The sequence below is a fragment of the Homo sapiens genome, chromosome 1 (genome assembly GCF_000001405.40).
Source record: "Homo sapiens chromosome 1, GRCh38.p14 Primary Assembly".
Classification (NCBI taxonomy): Eukaryota; Metazoa; Chordata; class Mammalia; order Primates; family Hominidae; genus Homo; species Homo sapiens.
In genome coordinates this window covers 77,429,141-77,452,602 of record NC_000001.11, presented here as the reverse complement: position 1 = coordinate 77,452,602, position 23,462 = coordinate 77,429,141, and the positions used below count along the sequence as shown (strand labels likewise).

At 37.4% G+C, this 23,462-nt stretch overlaps 1 protein-coding gene and 1 long non-coding RNA gene across 9 annotated transcripts in view; one reads left to right on the top strand and one right to left on the bottom strand.

Moving 5' to 3' along the window:
* Window positions 1-23,462, bottom strand: part of AK5 (adenylate kinase 5) — a 277,948-nt gene that overhangs the window by 107,364 nt on the left and 147,122 nt on the right. The window lies entirely within an intron of this gene.
* Window positions 14,999-19,870, top strand: LOC124904202 (uncharacterized). The gene is made up of 2 exons (XR_007066178.1): window positions 14,999-15,183; window positions 19,416-19,870. It is a non-coding gene; the product is annotated as an uncharacterized LOC124904202 (long non-coding RNA).

Genomic DNA, 23,462 nt, shown 5'->3' with positions numbered 1-23,462 from the left:
GCATAGGTGACTGGCATTTTGGAGAACTACCTTATTGATCAACAGACTGCAGATATTTTAGCATTTAATATACTCTGCATCATGAGTCATGTGGGACTAAATTGGATCCAATCTGACAGCTCTTACTCCAAACATTTAAATAAACAGCCTTATCTAAAAATCTTCCTTTTTGGAGTCCTTTGCCCAATCAATAATCCTTGATTTATTATTAAAGTATATCTGATAAGAAAGAAGGAGAATATTGCAATGCTATCCTTTTTTCTTCATAATTCCACAGGCATTTATTGAAAATTAAAGATATGCCAGTCATGAACAAGTGTTGATACAGAAGTATGTCGATTCATTAAAATTAAGTAAGACATACATATATAGAACAACATAGCTCATTTTGAAAATACATACAAACAAAAAGATACATATAATTGCATTATAATGGATGCTTGTGCAGGAGAGAAAAATGGAAGATGATTACGGGGATATAAAAAAGAATAAATTAAAAAGTAATATATCAAAGGGGGAAAATACGAAGTGGATTTTCACAGAAATAATGGCAATTTTCCCTGAACCGAAAGATATGTTTAACTTGGGCCTCTGCACCTGAGAAAAGTACATAAATAAAGAAATAAAACATAGTCCTTGTCCTCAAGGAACTCACAATCTGGCGGGCAGACATAGGTAGAAACATGTGATTGTTCCACATGATTAATTCAGTAAGCACAGACTGCTTCAAATGGGTACCTTACAGATTTCAGGTCCCTGGGGTAGGAGGGTCTTGTCAGGAGAGATTTCTCTGGACAGGCACCAGTTAACCAGGTGAAATGGTGCAAAGGCAATCGCCGACAGAATATAGAATATACAAAAGCATGGTTGAGAGGAAGAGAATGATTTGGAAAACTGCAAGTACAACCCTGAGAGACTGACGTTACTGTCATGTTTATTCATTCAAGATTATTTATTAAGCAGCTCCTATGTACCCAAGTACTTACATGTGCAAATTGAGATTCAGAGGGTTTGAAAATGCTATCCGTTATACGCTTTGGTCCTTATTTACTCCTAGAGTAATATTCAGAGATTTAGGAAAAGTTTATGTGCCATGATGTGCCAGGGCAGCATTATTTATAACAGTGAAAAGATGAAAGGAAAAACAGGCGTTCTGCAATAAGGGAATGATGAAAATAAATATGGTGTTCCTATAGAATTATATTTTATAGTGCCATTAAAATGTGTTTACAAAAATTATTTGATGACATGGGAAATTCTATATTATTAAATGCAAAATCTGATTATAACATTATTAAATGTCTATCAATCAAGGAAATGCTTCATAATGTCAATGTTAATTTTCTTCTTTATACTTTTTGTATTTTTTTTCAAATTTTCCATAGCATGTAGTTTTGCTTTTATGTCTTTATGTATTTATTTTTTTTTCGAGACAGGGTCTCTCTGTTGCCTAGGCTGTAGTGCAGTGGTAGAATCATGGCTCACTGCAGCCTCAACCTCCCAGGCTCAAGTGATCCTCCCAGCTCAGCTTCCTGAATAGCTAGGGCTACAGGCACATACCATCATGCCTGGCTAATTAAAAAAAGTTTTTTAGAGATGAGGGCTCACTATGTTGCCCAGGCTGGTCTTGAACTCCTGGGCTCAAATGATACTCCTGCTTCGACCTCCAAAAGTGCTGGGATTACAGGTGTGAACCACTGCACCAGCTTAGTTTTGCTTTTATAAATAATAAAAAAGTTATTAAATTTAACAAAATAAGGAAATCAAAGAGTATTATGCTTGAAAGACAAGCAAACACAAACTTGACATTTCTTACAATCTTAGGCATATGTTTATATAACTTGCTCATTTTACAAACCCGTGAAGAAATTAACTTACATGATTGCAAATATGATGTTAAGATCAAGCTAGTTTTTTGAGGGGGTTAGCAGAAGGTTGTTGAGGATAGTTATTATAGATTCTGGGGCAGCAGCATGCCTTATTGGAAAGTGATGAACTTAGAGTGAGGACGTTATTAGTTGTGTGACCTTGGGGATAATGATAATTTTTTTACTGTTGTGAAGATTAAACCAGATCATGAGAACTCTTGGCACAGGATAGGCACTTAATAAAAACTGTTGACTCTGATATTTCTTAAAGAGTATGAATATTCAGTGAAAAACTGGACATTTTAAGTGTGTTCTCATTTGGTTAGAAGGGGTTTGTCTTTATGAGCAGTGTGAAAACAGACTAATACAGTAATTTGGTACCAGTAGAGTGGGGCATTGCTGAAGAGATACCTGAAAATATGGAAGCGACTTTGGAACTGGGTAACAGGCAGAGGTTGGAATAGTTTGGAGGGCTCAGAAGAAGACAGGAAAATGTGGGAAAGTTTGGAACTTCCTAGAGACTTGTTGAATGGCTTTAACAAAAATGCTGATAGTGATACGAACAACAAGGTGCAGGCTGAGGTGGGCTCAGATGGAGATGAGGAACTTGTTGGGAACTGCAGCAAAGGTGACTCTTGCTGTTTTAGCAGAGACTGGAAGCATTTTGCCCCTGCCCTAGAGATTTGTGGAACTTTGAACTTGAGAGAGATGACTTAGGGTATCTGGTGGAAGAAATTTCTAAGCAGCAAAGCATTCAAGATGTGACTTGGGTGTTGTTAAAGACATTTAGTTTTAAAAGGGAAACAGCATAAAAGTGTGGAAAATTTGTAGCATGACATTGCAATAGAAAAGAAAATCCCATTTTCTAAGGAGAAACTCAAGCTGGCTGCAGAAATTTGCGTAAGTAATGAGGAGCCGAATGTTAATCCCCAAGACAATGGGGAAAATGTCTCCAGGGCATGTCAACCCCTCCCATGACTCAATTACCTCCCACTGGGTTCCTCCCATAAAAGGCAGGAATTGTGGGAGTTACAATTCAAGATAAGATTTGGGTGGGGACATAGCCAAACCTTATCATTACACTCTTGGCCCCTCCCAAATCTCATGTCCTCACATTTCAAAACCAATCATGCCTTCTCAACAGTCCCCTAAAGTCTTAACTAATTTCAGCATTAACTCAAAAGTCCACAGTCCAAAGTCTCATCTGAGACAAGGCAAGTCCCTTCTGCCTATGAGCCTGTAAAATCAAAAGCAAGTTAGTTACTTCCCAGACACAATGGAGGTATAGGCACTAGGTGAATACAGCCATTCCAAATGGGAGAAATTGGCCAAAATGAAGGGGCTACAGGCTCCATGCAACTCTGAAATCCAGCAGGGTAGTCAAATATTAAAGCTCCAGAATGATCTCCTTTGACTCTGTGTCTCACATCCAGGCCACACTGATGCAAGAAGTGGATTCCCATGGTCTTGGGCAGCTCTGCCCCTGTGGCTTTGCAGGGTATACCCCCCTCTTCTGGCTGCTTTCATGGGCTGGTGTTGAGTGTCTGTGGCTTTTCCAGGTGCATGGTGCTAACTGTCTGTGGATCTACAATTCTGGGGTCTGGAGGACAGTGGACCTCTTCTCATAGCTCCATTAGGTGGTGCCCCAGTAGGGACTCTGTGTAGGGGCTCTGACCCCACATTTCCCTTTTGTACTTCCCTAGCAGAGGTTCTCTATGAGAGCCCGCCCCTGCAGCAAACTTCTCCCTGGACATCCAGGCATTTCCATATATCCTCTGAAATATAGGCGGAGGTTCCCAAACCTCAATTCTTGTTGCCAGCTCTCTGCTGTGGCTGGACCAGGCATACTGCAAGTGGCTTCCACTGTGAGCACCAGGGAACATGGTGGCACCTGGAAGCTCGGAGACACTGGAACCACAGAGCCTCAAAGAGGGTGTTACAGCCCTGGCTCAGGGAGTTCCTAAGTCTGGGTTCCCCAGAGGGCCACAGCTCTTCTCTCTTTCTTCCCTCCTTCTTGTTGTCTGCAATGTGGTGAGTGAAGGGCATGTTTCAGTCCTGTTTGTGTTATAGCTCTTTCAGTCCTGCCATGGGTTCCAAGTGCTTGTCCTGCAACCAGGAAGAATGAGGTATGCAGAAAACTGGAGGGTGAGCAAGGCAAAGAGGTGCTTTATTAAGCAACAATACCACTCTCAGGAGACCTGAAGTGGGTAGTTCCTATCCACAGGCAGGTTGTCCTGATGTTTCTGTATCCCTCAGTGGAGAGGAGACTGGAGTGGGTAGCTGCTGTCCACAGGCAGGTCATCCCAATGTCTCTGCAGCCCTCAGCGGAGAGGAGACCCAGAGTGGGTATTTCCTATCTGCAGGCAGGTTGTCCCATCGTCTGCCCAAGTTTGGCAGAGTCTGAGATTTTTATGGGCTTTGGAGGGGAAGAAGGGCATGCTGATTGGCCCATGGGAAGCCATGGATGGGCCTGAAAAGAGCACCACAAGTTCTTACTCCAGTCTGTGAACTGGCAGCCTGGCCCCCATGCTTCAGGCCATCCCTGGTGTGAAGGTGGGGCTTCACCAGGACCCGCCCCTTTCCACCCAAGGGCATGTCTTTTTCCTACTGCCATCAACCCGCTGTCCACAGTGCCCAGGCTGTTCATGTCAAGGGGGACCTGTAGGCCTCAGCTGAGCAGCCCTAAGCCCCCTGTCAGCCTCCCTTCCATGCTCGTCGGTGCCCTAAGCCTGGATGGACAATGGTTAGACAATGGTAACTTCTGCTCCTTGGCAACTACCTATGAGGAACAAAGGGCAACCTCATCACATCTCTCTCCTACCACCCACATTTAAGTTTGCATAAGCCTATAAGCCTATGTTTGCTTTTAGACTGGGTTTCCAGGTTTTTGCATACTACCCAATCCTTTTGTAAATACACAATAATCCCAGGAGGTTATTTGGTTTCTCATTAACAACAGTTTCCTGTCTTTTAAGGCTCCAAGACATACCAGATTATGGGTTACACCTGAGTTCTAATTCCTTTTCTTTATTAGGCAGTGATACTATTGTGTTATCACAAATGATTTCATCTTGCCTTCAGAATTACTTGGCATTCAAGGTCATCTGGTTAATAAGATGTTAGAGAAGCCACGAAATTAATTATAATACCTGTCTGACAAGAATAACAGGGTTTTTTTTAAAAGAAAACAGTCTCTACTGATCAGTCCTTCATATGTTTTCTAACCCTAGAGTATATCCTGTTGCTTTGAAATAAATAATTCTATGAGTTTTCATTTCCTTCTGCAAAGGTTTCTCCTATATTCCTGTGACAGAGCATGCCAGCTATGCATAGTGATGAGGCATTCACTTTTATGTCTTCAGAGTGGAAATCTATTGAATTCCTTGCTCAGAATTGGCAACCTAAGTGATATACTGACACTGTTTAATATTTATACTGAAGCTATGAAGGACATTTCTGACTTTTTAGTCAAGAATGGTGAAAATTTATCCATATGAATTTATGAGGTTTAAAAGTGGAACTTGTCTTTCTTCTTACAGAATCAATTAGCCCTAAGGCCCCAGGGCCAATGGAGATAGCCAGGAATTGCTGGCTGCCTGAACCAACTGTGGCAAGTATTTTTATTTCAGTCTTTGGGGAAAGCTGGACTTACATCCTTTTGACCTCTGTTCCTCTTCAATATCCCTGTTCTTATTTTTGCAGTAGACCACCAATGACTTTCAACATCAAGCACAAGTGTTTCCTGCAGAGCCGGGAGGCAAACCCGGCCATTCCAGCTTCCCGGCTCCAGCTGATCCTCATAGGACTTGCCCCAAACCCTCGACTTACCTATTGGAACAGGACTCAGTGTGTCAGCTACAACTTGCTAAGTCCTCAAATTATAATCAGCACTGTGTTACTGAAATATACTGCCTTGGGAATGGCACATTTTAATTTTAAATCGGCTTTACAAATATAAGCTAACACATGCTTCATCTAAATGTAATATTTATTGACCAATGACCTGAACAATAACAACAACAACAACAATAACAACAAACAAGAAAACAATCCCATTTATGATAGCATCAAAGAAGTAAAATATTTAGGAATAAATTTAACGAAGGAAGTGAAAGACCTGTATACTGAAAGCTATAAAATATTGATGAAGGAAATTAAAAGGATACAAATAAGTGCTCATGGATCAGAGTAATTAATATTGTGAAAATGGCCATACAACCTAAAGCAATATATATATTCAATACAATCCCTATAAAAATCCCAAAGATATTTTTCTCAGAAATAGAAAAAGCAATTCTAAAATTTGTATTTATCCACAAAAGATCCTGAATACCCAAAGCAATTCTGAGAGGAAAAACAAAGTTGGTGGCATCACACTTCCTGATTTGAAATTATATTACAAAGCTATAGTAATCAAAACAGTAGGATACTGGCATAAAAACAGAAATATAGACCAGTGGAACAGAATAGAGTCCAGAAATAATTGCAAACATATATGGTCAACCAATTTTCAGCAAGGGCACCAAAAAGACACAATGGGGAAAGGATAGTCTCTGCAATAAATGGTGCTAGGGAAGCTAGATTTCCACTTGCAAAAGAGTGAAATTGGACTCTTATTTTATACCAGATACAAAACTCAACTCAAAATGGATAAGAGACCCAAAAGTAAGACTGAAATAATAAAACTCCTAAAAGAAAACACAGGAGAAAAGATCTTGACATTGGCCTTGGCAATGATTTATTGTGTATTACACCAAAAGCTCAGGCTACAAAAGCAAAAATAAATACATGGAACTACATCAAACTAAAAAGCTGCACAGTGAACGAAACAATAAAAAATAGGAAAGGCTGACCAGGCGTGGTGGCTCAGGGCTGCAATCCCAGCACTTAGGGAGGCCGAGGAAGGTGGATCACTTGAGGTCAGGAGTTCAAGACCAGCCTGGCCAACATGGTGAAACCCCATCTCTACTAAAAATACAAAAATTAGCCGGGTATGGTGGCAGGTGCCTGTAATCCCAGCTACTCAGGAGGCTGAGGCAGGAGAATCGCTTGAACCTGGGAGGCAGAGGTTGCAGTGAGCTGAGATCATGCCACTGCACTCCAGCCTGGGTGACAAAGTGAGACTCTGTCTCAAAAAAATAAAGTATGAAAGGTTAACCTACAGATTAGGAAAAAGTATTTGCAAACCATATGTCAGATAAGTGGTTAATATTCAAGATTTGTAAAGAACTCATACACTCTGGTAGCAGGAAAATATATAAGCTGATTACAAAATGGGCAAAGGACTTGGATAGACATTTCTCCAAAGATGATATTAAAAATGGCCAACAGGTACATGAAAAGGTACTCAACATCCCTAATAATGAGGAAAATGCAAATAATAACCACCATGAGATACCACTTCACACTTGTTAGGATTGCTACTATCAGACAACATAACAAGTGTTGGTGAGGGTGTGAAGAAAAGGGAATACTTTTGTATACTGTTTGTGGGAATGTATAATACTGTAGTCATTATGAAAAACAACATGGAGGTTCCTAAAGAAATTTAAAGTAGAACTACCATATGATGCAGCAATCTCTTCCTTTCATACCCAAAGGAAATGTAATCACCACCGCATAAAGATGTCTGTACTGCCATGCTCATTGCAGCATTTTTCACAATAGCCAAGATATGGAAACAATCTAGATATACCAATAGAATATCATTCATCTGTAAAAGAGAAAGAGATCCTGCCATTTGTCACAACATGGATGGATCTGGAGGACATTCTGCTAAGTGAAATAAGCCAGACACAGAAAAATATTGCATGATCTCTCACTTATATGTGGAATCTTTAAATAAAGATCAGATATTGGCCAGCGATGGTGTTTTATACCTGATAATCCCAGCACTTTGGGAGGCCAAGGTGGGAGGACTGCTTGAGCCCAGGAGTTCAAGACCCCTGGGGTCAAGAAAGTGAGACCCTCCCCCCAATCTCTACAGAAAAGTCAAATATATACATATATTTGTATATATTTATACAATATATAAATATTTATACTATGTATATACTATATATAGTATATATTTATACTATGTATATACTATATATAGTATATATTTATACTATGTATATACTATATATAGTATATATTTATACTATGTATATACTATATATAGTATATATTTATACTATGTATATACTATATATAGTATATATTTATACTATGTATATACTATATATAGTATATATTTATACTATGTATATACTATATATAGTATATATTTATACTATGTATATACTATATATAGTATATATTTATACTATGTATATACTATATATAGTATATATTTATACTATATATACTATATATAGTATATATTTATACTATATATACACATATATTGTGTATATATACTATATATATACACATATATTGTGTATATATACTATATATATACACATATGTTGTGTATATATACTATATATATACACATATGTTGTGTATATATATACTATATATATATACATAAGTGGTATATATATATATATATACCACTTATCTGACATATATATAGAGAGAGAGTGAGAGAGAGAGAGAATAAAATAGCAGTTACTAGGATCAGGGTTGGGCAGTGGCAGGGAGAGGACAGGAAATGGGTAGCTATAGGTCAAAGGATACAAAGTAGCAAATATGTAGGATGAATAAGTGAAAAGATTTAATGTACAACATGAGGACTATAGTTAATAATAGTGTACTGCAGTCAGGATTTTTTCTAAATAAGTATCTTATAGCTGCTCATGTCTTGGGTGGGTGGGTAGGACAAAAGGTAACTATGTGAGATGACATATGTGTCAATCTGTTCCACTATAATAATTATTTTACTATATAGATGTATCTCTTAACATCATGTTGTATACCTTACACATATACAATAAAGTTTACTTAAAATATTTAAAAAATAAATTAGAAAAAAATATTTTTCTTGATTTAGAAGCTCAATATCACTATGGAAATTCAGTTGAACACACACACACACACACACACACACACACACACACACACACACACAGACTCCCCACAGTAAACTCTGTTCTGGCCATGGAATGCGGCATTATTATTTTATTCATTAAATCTATTTGGATCTCTACAGTGTCCCTGTCACAGTGCAGTGGACACAAAAGAAGTACTGATAGGCCCTCCCTCTCAAGAAGGAAAGAAAGAAGAAGAAATACTTCCTGGATGGTCTACTGTGCTAGGTGCTTTTACATAGATTATCTCTTTTAATCAAAATAGTCTGCAAGTTATGTCAGTTTTACAGACAAATGCAGGCTTGAAGAGGTTAAGTATCTTGCACCTTGCAATTTGATCCATGTCTATCTGGGTTAAGACTCCATGCTCTTGTTTGTAATGGATGCATATAGCATACAGGAGACAGTTAGGGAGTAATACGAGTCAGTACACAATGAATTATAAAATTAAATACCAGTTGAGCACCCCAGACCAGAAAAAATCTGAAATCCCAAACACTTCTAGTCTCAATAATTTTGAGTAAGAGATACTCAACATGTATAATCAAGTGCTAAGACTTAAGGTATGAGCCTCTAATGCTTTAGGAGTTCAGTGGCAGGAAATTAATGTTTAATTATTACAGAAGATCTCAAGTCAGAAGATGCAGAATTTAATTTTAAATCCCGGTAGGTGTGAAAGTTGTCAGAATCAAAATGGAGTCAGTTGTGTTAAAAACAACCTTGAAAAATGGAGACAGAGAAGGTCATGAAGGAAGGGTTCTCATGCACAAATGCCTGATAAAACAATAAAAAAATTCTGCAAACCCCACAATTTTACACAAAGGCCATTGCTACTTGACACAAAAAATGCTTCTGGGAGGACATCTGCCAAGCAATTGCCCATCCAACCTTGGACTGACACCATCCTTGTTATTGATCCTTGCAGCCAAGGATAATTATCTCAAAACAATTATGCAGATGGTGACATCAGCAAGATGGCTGTCTAGAAGTCCTTAGCGCTTGTCCCCTCAACAAAGACAGATAAAACAATGAAGAAATAATTACATTTTAATAAAAATAACTGAAGGAGGGCACTGAAGTACATCCAAACAATAACAGAAACTCCGGGGAGCACAGAAACTCAGGATGGTCACACAGAGAACAGAAGGAAACACCTGACTTCCACCACCCTATCCCCCAGCTAGGATAAGCTGGGAACCTGGAGGAACTTCTCTCCATAGGGAAAAAGTAAGCAAGAGGATCGCAGCAGCTCCTGTCAGCACCTTGGATACCTACAGTCCTTACCACTGGGGTCCTCTGCAGCCCTCACAAGCACTTAAGCCCAGTTGAAGGAGCTGCCTGGAGTCCATATAGCTCTCTTCCCTCTAGAGAAGGAGCCCCACCCTCTGTGCCCACATGGCTACTGCCCTACACACCATCTTGGAAATGGAATTACTGCTGGAGTGTATCTTGCTCTGGGTGCGAGTAGCCATGGCAGTCTTTCATCCCTGAGTCTAAACTGCTTTTGAATCATCCCTGCCCATGGCTTGACATCCCTAAGCTGAGTTTTGAGCCACTGTCATACCTTTCCCCATCTGTTACCACTACACAGTGCCTCATGTCTAGGGACCCGAGTTGCCACCAAGCCCTACTGGTTCAGGCTTCCAAATTGCAGCCATATCCTGTGCCCTGGGCTAAAACCTCCAGAGTATCCTTTATTTCTTGGAGTCAGGCCAGGGCTGTGCCCTGCCTCCCAGGGCAGAATCACAGCTACAACCCAACCTCCTGGACCCAAGCTGCTAGGGGGTACCTCAGAGTCACAGATCCTGGCTCTGTGAACAACCTACCTCCAACGCTGCCACAGAGAGCAAATCTGCACCCCAATACCCAAGTGTCACAATAGGTTTGAGAGATCTTGAGCACAGAACTCTGGCCCCACAGCCACTCTGGGCACCTGCCTCTGTGACCAGTGCCACTGCAATTGCTTCTAGGCTGTGTCAGACCTGACATCAAGAAGGATCCTCTCAGCTAAGTGTCCCCATTGTGGGGAAAATAAGAATAGGAAGACCCCGGAAGCCCTTGCCACTGAGGATATTAACAATAAACACTGCCACTACAGCTACCACAAAGTCCTACAGCCTAAACCACTGAGGTGCCTACAGTTATTACTGATGTTCAACACAGCCAGAGAAGCTGCAGAGAGACTATAAAATGGCACCTACTTGGAAACAGAGTCACCACATCTTTCCCAACGAGCACACCAGGACCCAACTGTAGATGAGTCTTTTTCTATGAAAGCCACTCTAGAAAGTTTGGAAGAGGTGATTGTTCCACTAAATGCACAGACATGAATGCAGGGACACATAAAACATAAAAGAGCATGGAAGTTTAATATCACTAAAGGAACATAACTCTCTAGTAAGAGACCCCAATAAAAAGTAAATCAATGAATTGATGGAAAAGGAATTAAAAAATAATTATCTTAAGGAAACTCAATGATGTACTAGAAAATACAGATGGACAATTCAATAAAATCAAGAAAACAATTCATGATATGAATGAGAAGTACAACAGAGATATCATTTAAAAAACCAAACAGAAATCCCGCAGCTAAAGAATTCAATTAATGAAATAAAAAATGCAATAGAGAGCTGAAAAAGCAGACTTTATCAAGCAGAACAAAGAACCTCTGGCTGAGCACGGTGGCTCACGCCTGTAATCTCAGCACTTTGGGAGGCCAAGGCAGGTGAATTACCTGAGGTCAGGAGTTGGAGACCAGCCTGGCCAACATGGCGAAACCCCGTCTCTACTAAAAATACAAAAATTAGCTGGGCATGGTGGGCTCCTGTAATCCCAGCTTCTTGGGAGGCTGAGGCAGAAGAATAGCTTAAACCTGGGAGGTGGAGGTTGCAGTGAGCTGAGATTGCATGCCATTGCACTCCAGCCTGGGTGACAGAGTGAGACTGTCTCAAAAAACAAAACAACAAAAAAAAAAAGAGCCTCTGAACTTGAATATAGGCCATTATAAATTATACAGTTAGAGAAAAAAAAAGAATGAAAAAGACAAAAGACTGAAGACAGCCTACAAGACTTATGGGACACCATTAAGTGAACAAATATTTTTATTCTGGAAGTTGGAAGTTTCAGAAAGAGAAGATGTTGTAAAGGGTGTAAAAAAGCCTATTTAATGATGTAATAGCTAGAAACTTCCCAAGTCTGAGGGGATATATGGACATTCAAATCCAGGAAGCTCAAAAGTCCCCAAACAGATTCAACCCAAAAAGTCCTCTCCAAAGTACACTATAGTCAAATTATCAAAAATCAAAGGCAAAGAGAGAATTTTAAAAACAGTAAGAGAAAAGCATAGAGCTACTTATAAGGGAATCCCTATTAGAGGAACAGCAGATTTCTCAGGAGAAACCTTATAGGCCAGAAGAAAATGAGATGACATATTCAAAGAATGGCAAAAAATTGTCAGTCAAGAATAGCATATCCAACAAAACTACCCTTCAGAAATGAGGGAGAAATAAAGTCTTTCCCAGACAACCAAAAACTGAGAAAATTTGAAAGCACTAGACTGGCTTCACAAGAAATGCTCAAGGGAGCCCTACACCTGGAAGCAAAAAGATCATCATCATCATTACGAAAAAACATGAAAGTATAAAACTCACTGGTGGAATAGATACACCAAAGAGAAAGAAAAGAATCAAAGCTTATCACTACAAAAAACCCACCAAACTGCAATAACAATAAATAAGAAAGCAAGAACAAAGGATATACAAAACCCCAGAAAGCAGTATGCTGAAGAGATATAGCACTTCCAAGTTTATTGCAGCACTGTTTACAATAACAAAGATATGGAATCAACCTGAGTGTCCATCAATGGATGAATGAATAAGGAAAATGAGATATACATACATACATATATATGTATGTATATACATATACATGTATACATACATATATATGTATATACATACATATTCTTTTTTATGGCCAAATTTTATATAAATACTGTCATTTGCAGCAATATGGATGGAACTGGAGGACATTATGTTAAGTGAAATAAGCCAGGCACAAAAAGATAAATATCACAGTTCTGACTCATATGCAAGGGCTAAAAAAGTAAATATCATGGAGGCAGAGAGTTAAATGTTGGTTACCAGAGGCTAGGAAGAGTGATGAGGGAGAGGAGGTGAAGAGAGGTTGGTTAATGGGTATAAAAATGCAGTTAGATAAAAAGAATAATTTCTAGTTTTTGATAGCAAAGTAGGGTGACTATAGTTAATAATTCATTGTGTATTTCAAAATGGCTAGATTTGTAATGTTCCCAATGTAAAGAAATGATAAATGTTTGAGGTGATAGATATCCTAATTACCTGATCATTACACATTGTATGCGTGCACCAAAATATCACCTGTTCCCCATATGTACAATATGTATCAATAAAAATTATGTAATCTTCCTCATTTTTCCTTTAGAAAATGTTCGCTTCCTTTGCCTCCCTAAATATGCACATAGATTACTACAGCAAATGTATTCCCATGGCAATGTACATTCCCAAATAAATATTATTTTCTTTCAGAGAGTCTCTCTCTCTCTTATTTAGGATTATATAAATGGTGTCAGAAGTGAGATCTAAGTCAGCTCACCTTAGATAGATTATCAGCCCCTGAAATGGAGAGCAGTATCACCTGAGCCCTTTGTGCTCTTCGTTTCTACGAGTCGCCTTTTTGGTCCTGGAGAATTTCTTCTCAGATTTTCTGACTCTCTCCCTTTGGTGAGTTTTTTGGACATTATTTGGGATCTGATTTGATTGTAAGGCCACCTTAATAATGGACCTTGCATTCCCCCTGGAATGATAAAAACTTTTGTCTTTTCTGGCAAGCCCTTTCTGGTTTAAGGACAATGTTCTTCTGGTTCGAGTACTCTGGTTTTTATAGAACGTGTACTTTGTTTGTGATGCATGTCTCTTCTGGTGAATTCACTTTTGGTCTGCATGCCTAGTTTGATATTTTGGTTGATTAGCATGCCTGGCTTAACATTTTTGTGAGCACTCTAATTTTGGTTTCATTTTGGTCTGGTTATGCACATCTATAAATAATTTGAATCTTGTACTTTTTTTCTCTTCTTGCTTGCTTTTGAACATCTTCCCAGAGCAAAAATAAACATACAAAGTGGTAGGTGTGAGATGGCCAATTAAAAGCCACTATCTAAAATACCAAACTCCTGACATTCCCTGATAGAATGCATAGATTTCTTTTCTCTCAAGAGATTAATAAGAAACAAAACGAGATTCTCAAACATTAAGGCATGCCAGTTTTTCTGGGACTCCAGCCAGCTACATGGTTTTTCCTCATGCATGTTTTTAAACCAATGGCCATCTTAGGCGTTATTTGAACTCCCCAAGCTTGTTTTTTTTTTTTTTTTTTTTTTTTTTTTTTGTACCAAATATAGGGTTAAAACAAAATGCTGGTATGTAGAGGCTCTCAACTTCTTTTTTTCTCCTTTTTTTCCCCATCTCTGCTTCTCTGAATCTGCTTTTTCACTTGTATTAAAATAACCTAATTTTGCTAGTTTCCAAAGCTACTTACAAGTTTTTTAAAGAGCATTTCAGCCAAAATAACAAAAAAAGAGAGGGCTTTCAAATTACAGTAGTTCCATGACAGCCAACAAGCTATCCAGTACACCTAAGAGTCATCCCTTTTGGAAATGTTAATTTAGTTTTGATTGACTAGCAATTGCTTAGGGTGATTTAACAATTGCTTTAGTTAATTAAAAGCTAGATAGTCTAAGAAGGAAAGAACTAGATTAAGGTTTACAAAAGTTAGGCTCTCAGATCAAACAGGTCGAAATCTTGAGCTCAGGGGAATAATAGAAGGTATCTTTGACATAAAAATTTTGCTTTGTCTGCTGTATGTGAGCCAGGAAAAGCTGAGGGGAAAAAAAAACCCTTTAAATACCTTTTTCTAAAATGCTTTCCTGCCTGCATCGACTAATCAAGTAAATCAGACAAACAAATAAAAAGATAAATTTATTGCCGGAATTCAAGGCCACCGGGGTATTTTGTTTTTCTACACAATTTAGTTGGTGCTATCTAAAATGAAAATGTTTGAATATTTAACCTCTGTACCAGTTTAAAACTTGAAGGAGAAAAAGAGGTTTCTAAAAATCAAACTGCTGTGGAAACTGCTTTACCCAAAGCTTTGGTCCACAGCCTTCATAAGATCACCTATCAGGGCAAATAAAATTTAGCCATGTGAACAGGTCCCATTTTGTCAGAAATATAATTTGGATTCAACTGTCCTTTTATAAACTGGTAAGTTTAAATTACTATGTTTTGCTGTCTCATGATTAACATTTCAAAATGAAAGCTAAAGAATCTGCTTCGATGTATTCATGTTGTCTGTATGTTTTTATGTTGCATGTATGTATTTTTCTACCAAAATATATCAAAGAGCTAATTAATTAATTAATTAAAGGGAAAAATTAAGCACTTCAATCAAGTATGTTATCAAAAACATAATAGCCACCTCAAAGTTTTTAAGTTCACCTGACTTGGGTAAATGTTTGATAAGTAAACTGATTTTAAAATTGTTGATAAAATAAAAACAGAAATGTCTTAAGAATTGTCAGCAAAGATTTGTGCCTGAGTTTACTGGTCAGGCAGTTTTACATTTATCTTTGTTAGATATATTTTAAGGAGTCAGTGTTTGACATGAATGTCATAGAACTATGAATCCATCCTAAAAAGAGAACGATCTTTGTTTATGTAATTCCTTGATAAGTAATACTAATTTAATATTGTTGATTTAATGAAAGCAGCTGTATTTTCTGAGTTATTGGCAAGATACTGAAGTATTTAACTTTATGGTTCTTAGTTGGGTGAGGAATGCTTAATAGTCACAGCCTGTAAAAACGGCTAACAAGGAATTAGCCTGAAATAATTACTAGCCTTGTCTAATATCTTAGTTTTCATAAGTAATATAGTTATAATTGTTAAAAATAAACAAATTAGGTGAATGTAAATGGTATAATCATTTATAAATTAATTCTTCTTAGTTTCAAAAAATCTTTTTGATAACTTAAAATTTTAAAGTTATGTTAAATTAAGTAACAGATACTCATTAAGTATCTGGGTCATTTCAAAATAAGATAAAATATTGAAACAAATTGCTGAACACAAATATAAGTTTGTTCTTGGCTTCTTAAATTTTATAGAAAAACAAATATATTTGGGTTCATTAATACACATTAAAATTATGAGGAAACATGTTTCCAAAATTATAAAATCATTCTTATATATAAAATACTGATATGGAACAGTTCAAAATTTCTTGCTTCCTACACTTTCATTAGAAATTAATGTTACTAAGAGTTTGAATTTTAATTAACATATATAATTCTGTATACAAAGCATACCAATAAATGTAAAATGTGTTTTGGGAGGAGAAGTTATAAGAAAGGGATAAAAATATGTTCTTTGTTGAGAAAAAGAAAAATTTGTCTAATTTAGAGGTTATTTAAAGATTGTTTCAAAATACGAATTTAGAAAGGAAATAGAAACAAGACAGAAAGGAACCAGTAAGTAGGAAACAGAGATGTGAAGAAAGTTTTAAGTGTGAAGATGTATTTTTGGCATGGAATGTTAGAAGTGAATAATTTTTCAAAATAACAAGGGAACAAGGAAAGTAAATTTTTATCCTAAGGTGACTTGTTATTTTAAAAAGCGAATGTATAGGACAAAACTAACGGCTTAAGCATGCCATCAAAGGTCTGTGCAGATCGTGAAAGGTTTTTGAGGGATGAATTTTATAAAAGGAGTTTTGTGTGTGTAATCAAGTTTGCTATAAATAAAAGGGAATTATGTATATCTTTCTAAGGATTAAGGATTATATACATAACTTAGTTTATAAGTTAAAACTTAATTTACAACTAAGATATAAAACTAAGATTTTGGTTTCTTATATTAGAACAACAGAGTTTTCTTGAAGTACTAATCTGCTCTTAGTAAAATTTGTGAAAGTCTTTGATTTTTAATTCTGTAAAATTTCAGCCATCTTCTAAACTGCAGCTTCTTTTTTTTTTTTTTTTGAGACAGAGTCTTGCTCTGTCACCAGGCTGGAGTGCTGGCGCCATCTTGGCTCACTGCAACTTCTGCCTTCCGGGTTCAAACGATTCTCCTGCCTCAGCCTCCTGAGTAGCTGGGACTGCAGGTGTACGCCACCATGCCAAGCTAATTTTTATATTTTTAATGGAGATGGGGTTTCACCATGTAGGCCACGATGGTCTCGGTCTCTTCACCCTGTGATCCCCTGGCTTCAGCCTCCCAAAGTGCTGGGATTACAGGCGTGAGCCACCATGCCCAGCCTCTGTTTTACAGTCTATTTACTTTCCCTAGTTTCAAATTAAAAGTGCTATGTTCTTCATTTAGGATGGTAATTTCATTTCTTGAGGTAAAGTTTTCCTCTTGAAGCTTTTCAGATTCATATCTCAGAAGTACAATTTTTGCTGTATCTTGCAGCACAGGATTTGAGGTCATACAACACTGCCTTCTGCTCTTCCTGTCCCTCCTTGAGAGGATACATCTTTTTGCTTGGCTAGGTTGATAACTCGCTCCTTCAACTTTTTCGTCAGCTCCTGAAACTTTTTTCTCTACTTCAAGCTCTGCTGTTATGACCTGATGCTCAAATGTTTGTCTTGAAGCCCTAGAAAAGCAATGTTCCCCTCCAGTATATCTTGATTCTGCAATCTTGGTTTTTCTTGATATGTTTGAATTGTTCCATCTAACCAGGCAATTTCATGTTTTCACTTTTTTAAAGAGCCATGTATTCCTCTGCTCAAGGTACTAGTTTTCTTGTTTACTTCTTCTATGATATGATGTAAACTCATACCACTGGACCCACTCTTCTTGTGTCTGATTAAATTCAAGTAGTTTTTCATCAGGTTAGACTTCCAGGTTATTTAAACGGGCTTCCAGTAAGAAGCAATTATATTGCAGGAAGCTTTTTCTTTCTTTCCCCCTTTTGGTAATTGGCCTAAGATGAAGATTTTTGTAAGTTCCTGTGCTTCACATTGTCTTTATTATGTTTTTTGATTATTTAGGAAAACTGAGCTTTGGAAAGGTTAAGGATTTTTGTTGGTTTGTTTTATATCCATGGAACTTTCTGTATTGTTTTTGAAGTCTTTCTGTAATCTAATTTTGATCAAGTGTTTTCAGCCTCTTGACAGTTTTTGAAAGTTTTCCCTAGGGTCAAGTTCTAAGTTTAATCTTTCTGACCTAAAACTAATTTTGTGATTTTTCCAGTTGGGCCCTGGAGAGCCTCAAAGACTGTATCTCTCAACTTATAGAGATATTAAATGATTAGGTTTACTTAGTAAATTGTATGGGAAGCATTGTCAAACGATAAGTGATGCTAGATCTTTTTTCAGTTACATTTATGAGTATGTTATTGATATGAATGTTCCAAGATCATATAAAACTCTTAGAAATCTAATATATCAGTCAGAATTCTTATTATGTTGTATGCCGCAAAGTAACCAAATTTCCTTGTCAATTTCTGGTTATCATGAACTTTCATCAAATTTTATTTATTTATTTATTTATTTATTTATTTATTTATTTATTTATGCTTTGCACTCTATTTTTCTGATTTCATCAGATTTTAAGCCACGGTTGTTTTCTATCTTTTTGTCATCCACGGTTACTGGTTTGAGTTCTTTTCTAAAGACATACTCAATCAGATTCATGGAAAAGACTCTAAGAAGTAGTCTTAAATATAAGTTTCTAATAACTTTAAGATCAAAGTTATTAGATAATAAAATAAATAAAAATTATGTACTAAATAAAAATTTTCAGAACTCTAATGAAGAAACTAATAAATTTATGAAACTAATAATCAAGCTCAAGCAGGAAAAGAATTAATTACATGAAATTAAATGAACTGATAAAAAATTTTATAGCCTATTTATTTGAAACATTGCTGGTTCTTTTCCTCAATGTTTTGTTTTCCAGATTGAAGAAAACTTTTTGTCTTAAGCCATCTATAGTTTACAGCTGCTTGGTAAAGTAAACATTTGTGAACAAAAATGAAAGCATTTACTTTTTCTTCCTACCTGATCCCTCCAAAATGGGAAAACTATTCATGACAATATGATTGTTTACTTAAGTTTGATAAGAATCTGTTCTCTTTATTATGGGATACAAGTGGAAACATTGGTTTTATCACAAAAGTTTTGACTAAATTGTCATATTTAAATTGTTTATAGGTACTACAGATAAAGTCTGAAGTCAGCTTTGGTTTGGCTTCCTACCCTCAAGAAGTTTTTAAGTTTGAGATTACCGTATGGTCAAATCACTATTCTTGCTGGCAAAATTTGATAAAACTAAACATATTTTACAAACAAATTAGTCTTACTGTGATTATCTTTGGTAAAAATAAGGATGACTATAGAGAGAATGTTATGTTTCTAAAGAAAAAAACTATAATACACCTATTATTAGGCTGTGCCCCTGTGCATTGTTTTCAAGTTCTTCTCTTCTACCTGTAGATCTGATCAGAACCTGAATTCTCCTAATTTTCTTCAATATTTGGCTGCAACTCTCCAACTAAGAGCAAAAACTGCTCTGTGCTTGCCGCCTTAGAAGATGAAGCTAGACAACTTGATATAAATTTCAAGAGACAAGTCTCATACCCGAAAAAAGAAGGACAAGTCTTGTGCCACACAGAAAGTTCACCAATCCACCTGATACCATAGCAGAGAATTCAAACTGCAAGCCAAGAGAAGTTGATGGCTTCATGCTATAGGCAGCGTTTCCCAAGACACTCCATCAAAATGAGACTCTTGCCCCTCTTAATTTTTCCTTTCTTATGCTTACCTTTTTCTTTGGCAAGATAATGATGTAATTCAGATTTCACAATCAGCAGCTTCTGCTCATAACTTAAAAGAACATGACCTCTTAGGTATCTATTGTTTAAATAAAAAAAAGTCTACGCTTCCACTAATACTACATGTTATACTTGGGTAAATTCCTCTGGGGAAGTTGAGGCCCATATCCACAGAATTTTTTAAATGGGTCACACAGTAACAACAGATGTCATCTAATTCTCAATGGTCATTTGCTTTATTCAATTGTTTGTCTTTAAGACTGGATTCATGGCTCAAAACCATTATACAAACTTGGATTTACCATATTACTATTAATTTTATTTTATATTTTTGTTTTTAAAACTTGTACCTGTTGCTTGTTAAATTTCTGCAGAAGTACAACTCCTAACAGAATAATGCTGGCCCAGTGCTTTGAGATTGTGGCCAAAATACTATGGAATAGACAAAACTGAACATAGCAATAAATTCCAGGTAGACTTAGCCTGAGAGCCATTTCCTCCAAGCCTCCCTTGTTGCTCAAATGTGGCTAGAACGCTTTTGACACAGATTCCTACTCACCAATCACGTCTTCTGATATGGGACCAGACCAACAATCTGGGACACATCCTGGCACCAAGGGACAATGAAAATCTAACTACAGGATGATTGAATGGTGATACTTTCAGAAAAAGATCTTGATCAAAAGGGGGGAAATGTGAAAGTTATCAGAATCAAAATAGAGTCACTTGTGTCAACAAGAAAAAAACAAAACCAAAAACAGCTGAAAAACAGTGCTTGGGAAGGCCATAAAGGGAGGATTCTCACGCACAAGTTCTTGATAACAAAACTACCACAAAAAATTCTGCAAAAACTACAACTTCACACAAAGGCCATCACAACCTTACACAGAAAACACTTCTTTGAGGACATCTGCCCAGCAATTGCCTTTCCAAACTTGGACTGACACCACCTTTGTTACTTATCCTTGTAGCCAAGGATAATTATCTCAAAACTATTATGTAATCCTCCTCATTTTTTTCTTACAAGACCTTTGTCTTCCTTTACCTCCCTGAATACACACATAGTTTACAATGGCACCCATATTCCTATTGCAATGCCCATTTCTGAATAAATATCATTTTCTGTTAGAGAATTTCCCTCTCTGTTATTTAGAATGACACAATTTGCTAGGATCAAATATTCTTTTAAACCAAGAGATAGCACTCTTGATTTAAAAGAGTGACATAGGGTTATATTTTTAAAGAAGTCAAATATGCTTCTAGTGCTTTTGGGCGTTGGCTCCTAATTGTTCTCTACCCACTTCCTTCCTAAACTGCTTAGAATCCTCAGCTCATTACCACTTATACTCTGCCAATGCTTTGCTCTCTGCCTTTCTGAACCACATATTTGCTAAAATTCCATCACTGTGTGAACCAAATTACTGACCTTCTCTGTGTCCTGCTAGAATTCCACAACACTCAGTATAGCGCCTATAAGAGTGTCTGGCACCTAAGGCCACCCAATAAACATTTGCTAAAGGAATGAAAAAAATGAAAATGATTGATTCGTCAAAATAAATTTCTAGTCACTAATGTCAAATGGGCTCTCAATTCACTAATATCAAATGAAATGCTTGGTAATCCTGTTGTGTTTCCTTAGCACATTGCCTGCTAGATTTCACAACAGTTCAGGCTTCTACTCTCTTGAAACCCTGAAATCTCAACAGATGGCTTTGCCTCTGGAAGTCATCTTACAGGAACTCTTTGACTTCCCACCATTAAATATACAAACCCATCCTCCTATCCTATCAATGTTCCTTCTGTCTTAACCCACACGAGACTCTTTTGGTCTCATGCCAGTCTCTCCACCAGGGCTGGAGAACCCAGTCCTACCACATTCAGATAGACTTTCCTCTCTCTTATACTTGTATATTCTCCTTTTCACAAACAAGTAGACCTTTCCTGTGAGTTAAAACATGCTTAAGTGTCTTCACTTTATAGCGCTTTGTAAAGTTCTCAATTTCCTCCGTGTTTCTATATTCAATGATTATTTTCCAGTCTCTCTCTTCCTTATCTTCTCAGCCACATTTGGCACTCCCTGCCTCCTGAAATACTGTTTTCTCTGGCTTTTGGAACACCACATTCTACTGATTTTCCTCATATCTCTCTAATGGCTTCTTCTACGTCTTTCTGCTCTTTCATCTTTCTCTACTAAGACTTTAAATTTCCTCGGTGTTCAGCTATAGAGCCTCTTCTCTCAATTTTGTTTTCTTTCTCTATCTCATCTCCACTCACAAATTCAAGTCCTATCTATATTAAAAAGGCTCACAAATTTGTATTTCCAGCTCAGATATTTCCTCTGAACACCAGACCTATATATTTAATTGCTCACTGAAATTTTCTACTTGGATATGTTAAGGCACTTTGAACTCAGCATGTCTAAAATTACACTCATGCCCTATCTTTACAGAACTCGTCTTTTCTCAGTGAATGCCACCACTGTCTACCCAGCTGTACCAGTTGAAAACCCAGAAGTCATCTTCAACAGCTCACCCCCTGTTGGCTCCCATATCCATTCCAACATGAAGTCCTGTTGACTTTCGTCACAAGTTCTTCTCAAATACACCTCTTTCTCTCTGTCCCCTTTTTTACTCCAGTGTCACCATCAACTCTTGTTTGGACCACTGCAGCCTCCCACTCTGGACTCCATAGATGCCTTGTTTTTTTGTTTTTTTTTTTTGAACTCCATAGATTGCTTTTCTCCAATGTGTTTTCCACATTGCAGCCAGAAAAATGTTTTAAAAAATAAACACAAATATAATTATGTCAACACACTCTCCTCCCTCCTCAGAAACCCCAACTCTTCAAGGTTCCCCATTGCTCTTAGGATAAAGTCAAAACCCCTAACCTGCTCTACAAAGCCCTACTTTCCAGGCTCATCTGCACTCCAGCTATCCTGGTCTTCTTTTGGATGCCATGCTTCTTCCTGCTTCATCCTGCTATTTCCTCTTTTTGAACATCCCTTTCTCTTCTCCCCAGTTCTTTCCTGTTCTCATACATACTTGGTTACCTATGACCAATCTTACAGATCTCAATTCAAGAATCTCTTGCCCGCCAGGTGCAGTGGCTCACGCCTGTAATCCCAGCACTTTTGGAGGCCGAGGCGGGCGGATCACGAGGTCAGGAGATCTAGACCATCCTGGAGAAGACTTTCCTCACCTCACCAACCACATCTACACACAGCACCATGCACTTATTCTCCCAAGTACTTCACAGTTTTAACTTTATTTCTCTGACTATTCTATTCTTGTCTAGTTCTACTATAAGCTCTATGATAGCAGGAACTGTGCCATCTTTTGCCCACCAATGTATCCCCAGCACCTCATATAGAGTCTGGCACATTGAATTTACAAGAAAAAAACAACCCCATCAAAAAGTGGGCAAAGGATATGAACAGACACTTCTCAAAAGAAGACATTTATGCAGCCAAAAGACACATGAAAAAGTGCTCATCATCACTGGCCATTGGAGAAATGAAAATCAAAACCACAATGAGATACCATCTCACACCAGTTAGAATGGCGATCATTAAAAAGTCAGGAAACAACAGGTGCTGGAGAGGATGTGGAGAAATAGGAACACTTTTACACTGTTGGTGGGATTGTAAACTAGTTCAACCATTGTGGAAGTCAGTGTGGCGATTCCTCAGGGATCTAGAACTAGAAATACC